Raw genomic sequence first — 3,069 nt, 5'->3', positions numbered from 1 at the left:
TGTTGCCCAGGCTGGAGTGCAATGATGCAATCTTGGCTCACTGCAACCTCCGCCTCCCAGGTTCAAGCAATTCTCCTGTCTCAGCCTCCCGAGTAGCTGGGATTACAGGCATGCGCCACCATGCCCAGCTAATTGGGTATTTTTAGTAGAGACGGGGGTTTCTCCATGTTGGTCAGGCTGATCTCGAACCCCTGACCTCAGGTGATCCGCCTGCCTCGGCCTCCCAAAGTGCTGGGATTACAGGCGTGGGCCACCGAGCCCGGCCTATAAGTGATTTTTTTTTTCAGTATTTTCTAAATGCTCTTAAGTGAGTATTGCAGAAATTTTCTCCCTTTTCCCCCACCCATCCCTTTATTTTTTATTTAAAAGAAGAAAAATGCCCAGAGTGTTAATCTTCAGGGCAACATGGAGGAGAGTGGCTAAAGAGACTGTTGCCCTGTAGTGCAGTCAGGTTTTGTAGGACAACTGATGCTTCCCCTGCTGCCCTCCACAACTCTCACAAGTGGATGGACTGAATAGGGAAGGTGGTAAAGAAGAAGTGAAAGTAGCTGGAACTACTCAGGGCCTGAGGCAAGGTGAAAAAGAGTAAGAAGCCCGAAAAGGGGCTGGGTGCAGTGGCTCATGCCTGTAATCCCAGCACTTTGGGAGGCCGAGGTGGGGCGGATCATGAGGTCAGGAGTTAGAGCCCAGCCTGACTAGCATGGTGAAACCCCGTCTCTACTAAAAATACAAAAATTAGCTGGGCATGGTGGTGGGCAGCTGTAATCCCAGCTACTCAGGAGGCTGAGGAAGGGGAATAGCTTGAACCCAGGAGGCAGAGGTTGCAGTGAGCCGAGATCACACCACTGCACTCCAGCCTGGGTGACAGAGCGAGAATCCGTCTAAAAAAAAAAAAAAAAACCAAAAAAGCCCAAAAAGAGATCAGACAGCTGTTTATAGAGGCCGGTTAGAACTTTACTCAGCAAGAGGCAGGGCGCGGTGGCTCACGCCTGTAATCCCAACACTTTGGGAGGCCGAGGCGGGTGGATCACGAGGTCAGGAGATGGAGACCATCCTGGCTAATGTGGTGAAACCCCGTCTCTACTAAAAATACAAAAAAAATTAGCTGGGCATGGTGGTGGGCGCCTGTAGTCCCAGCTATTCGGGAGGCTGAGGCAGGAGACTGGCGTGAATCTGGGAGGCGGAGCTTGCAGTGAGCCGAGATGGCGCCACTGCACTCCAGCCTGGGCGACAGAGCGAGACTCTGTCTCAAAAAAAAAAAAAAAAAGAACTTTACTCAGCAAGGAAACCCTCCCTAAACCTGTTTCTGCCCCTACTTCCCACTCCAGCAAAGGGCACCATTATTTGCCAAGTGGCTCAAGTCTGAAGTCAAGGGGCTATCCTGGACTCTGACATACCTACCCATCCACCTCCATTCACCAGATCCTACTGATGTTATCTTCCAACTCCCTCAAAACCTATTTGCTTCTTCCATCTCATTCTCTCTAACGTGGATTAAGCTGCAACTGCCTCTCCACAACTGCCCTCTGCACCCTGTTCCACCCATCTCCTGCAGAGCTGTCAATTCAAATTGACTCTGATATGCAAATCTGATTTCGAGTAAAACCCTTCAGTGCTCCCCTGTGGCCTGCAGCCCTGGTACTCTCAACCCTGGCTACACATTACAGTCACTTGGGGAGCTTTAAAACTGATCCCAACACGAAGTCCCCATATCTTAAGAGACTCAGACCAAATGTTTTTAGTTCTTTTTTTTTTTTTTTTTGAGATGGAGTTTTGCTCTTGTTGCCCAGGATGGAGTGCAATGGCACGATCTCAGCCCACCGCAACCTCCACCTCCCGGGTCCAAGCGATTCTCCTGCCTCAGCCTGCCGAGTAGCTGGGATTACAGGCACGTGCCACCATGCTCGGCTAATTTTGTATTTTCAGTAGAGACAGGATTTCTCCATATTGGTCAGGCTGGTCTCGAACTCCTTACCTCAGGTGATCTGCCCACCTTAGCCTCCTAAAGTGTATTACAGGCATGAGCCACTGCGCCCAGCATTTTTTTTTTTTTAAGACAGAGTCTTGCTCTGTCACCCAGGCTAGAGTGCAGTGGCACGATCTCAGCTCACTGCAACCTCCGCATCCCAGGTTCAAGCGATTCTTGTGCCTCAGCCTCTTGAGTAGCTGGGATTACAGGCGCCCGCCACTGCGCCCGGCTAATTTTTGTATTTTTAGTAGAGATGGGGTTTCACCATCTTGGCCAGGCTGGCCTCGAACCCCTGACCTCGTGATCCACCTGCCTCAGCCTCCCAAAGTGCTGGGATTACAGGAGTGAGCCACCACGCCCAGCCCATGTCATTCTTTTTCTTTTTTGAGACAAGGTCTTGCTGCCACTTAGGCTGCAGTGCAGTGGTGTGATCACAGCTCACTGCAGCCTCAACCTCCCACCTACCTCCCAAGTAGCTGGGACTACAGGTGCATGCCACCATGCCCACCTTATTTTTTTATTTTTTGTAGAGATGGGGTTTCACTATGTTGCTCAGGCTGGTCTCGAACTCCTGGGCTCAAGCAATCTGCCTGCCTCAGCCTCTCAAAGTGCTGGGATTACAGGCATGAGCCACAGTGCCTAGCCTGTCATTCATCATTCTTTTTTTTTTTTTTTTTTTTTTTGAGATGGAGTCTCGCTTTGTCACCCAGGCTGGATAGCAGTGGTGCAATCTCAGCTCACAGTAACCTCTGCCTCCTGGGTTCAAGCGATTCTCCTGCCTTAGCCTCCCGAGTAGCTGGGATTATAGGCACACACCACCACGCCCAGCTAATTTTTGTATTTTTAGTAGAGACATCGTTTCACCATGTTGGCCAGGCTGGTCTCGAACTCCTGAACTCAAGTGATCTGCCCACCTCGGCCTCCCAAAGTGCTGAGATTACAGGTGTAAGCCACCGTGCCTGGCCCTGTCATTCATTCTTTCAGCAAAAATTTACTAAGCATCTACTATGTGCCACGTGCCTTGCTTGCACTGATGTGCCTGGTACATAGGCACAGTATGAACAGTAACATTTAGGCCCCTCATAAAGCCTACAGCCTGT

General features: G+C 50.5%; 1 annotated feature.

Annotated features, from left to right (window-relative positions):
• Positions 381–440: an enhancer, noted in NCBI's record as "active region_375". NCBI's record gives its function as "activates an Ori minimal core promoter by ATAC-STARR-seq in GM12878 lymphoblastoid cells {active_cell/tissue: GM12878}" and the evidence as "EXISTENCE:reporter gene assay evidence [ECO:0000049][PMID:35858748]".

This window comes from Homo sapiens, chromosome 1 (assembly GCF_000001405.40).
Source record: "Homo sapiens chromosome 1, GRCh38.p14 Primary Assembly".
In the NCBI taxonomy this organism is placed as follows: domain Eukaryota; kingdom Metazoa; phylum Chordata; class Mammalia; order Primates; family Hominidae; genus Homo; species Homo sapiens.
This window is presented reverse-complemented; position numbering and strand designations above follow the sequence as displayed.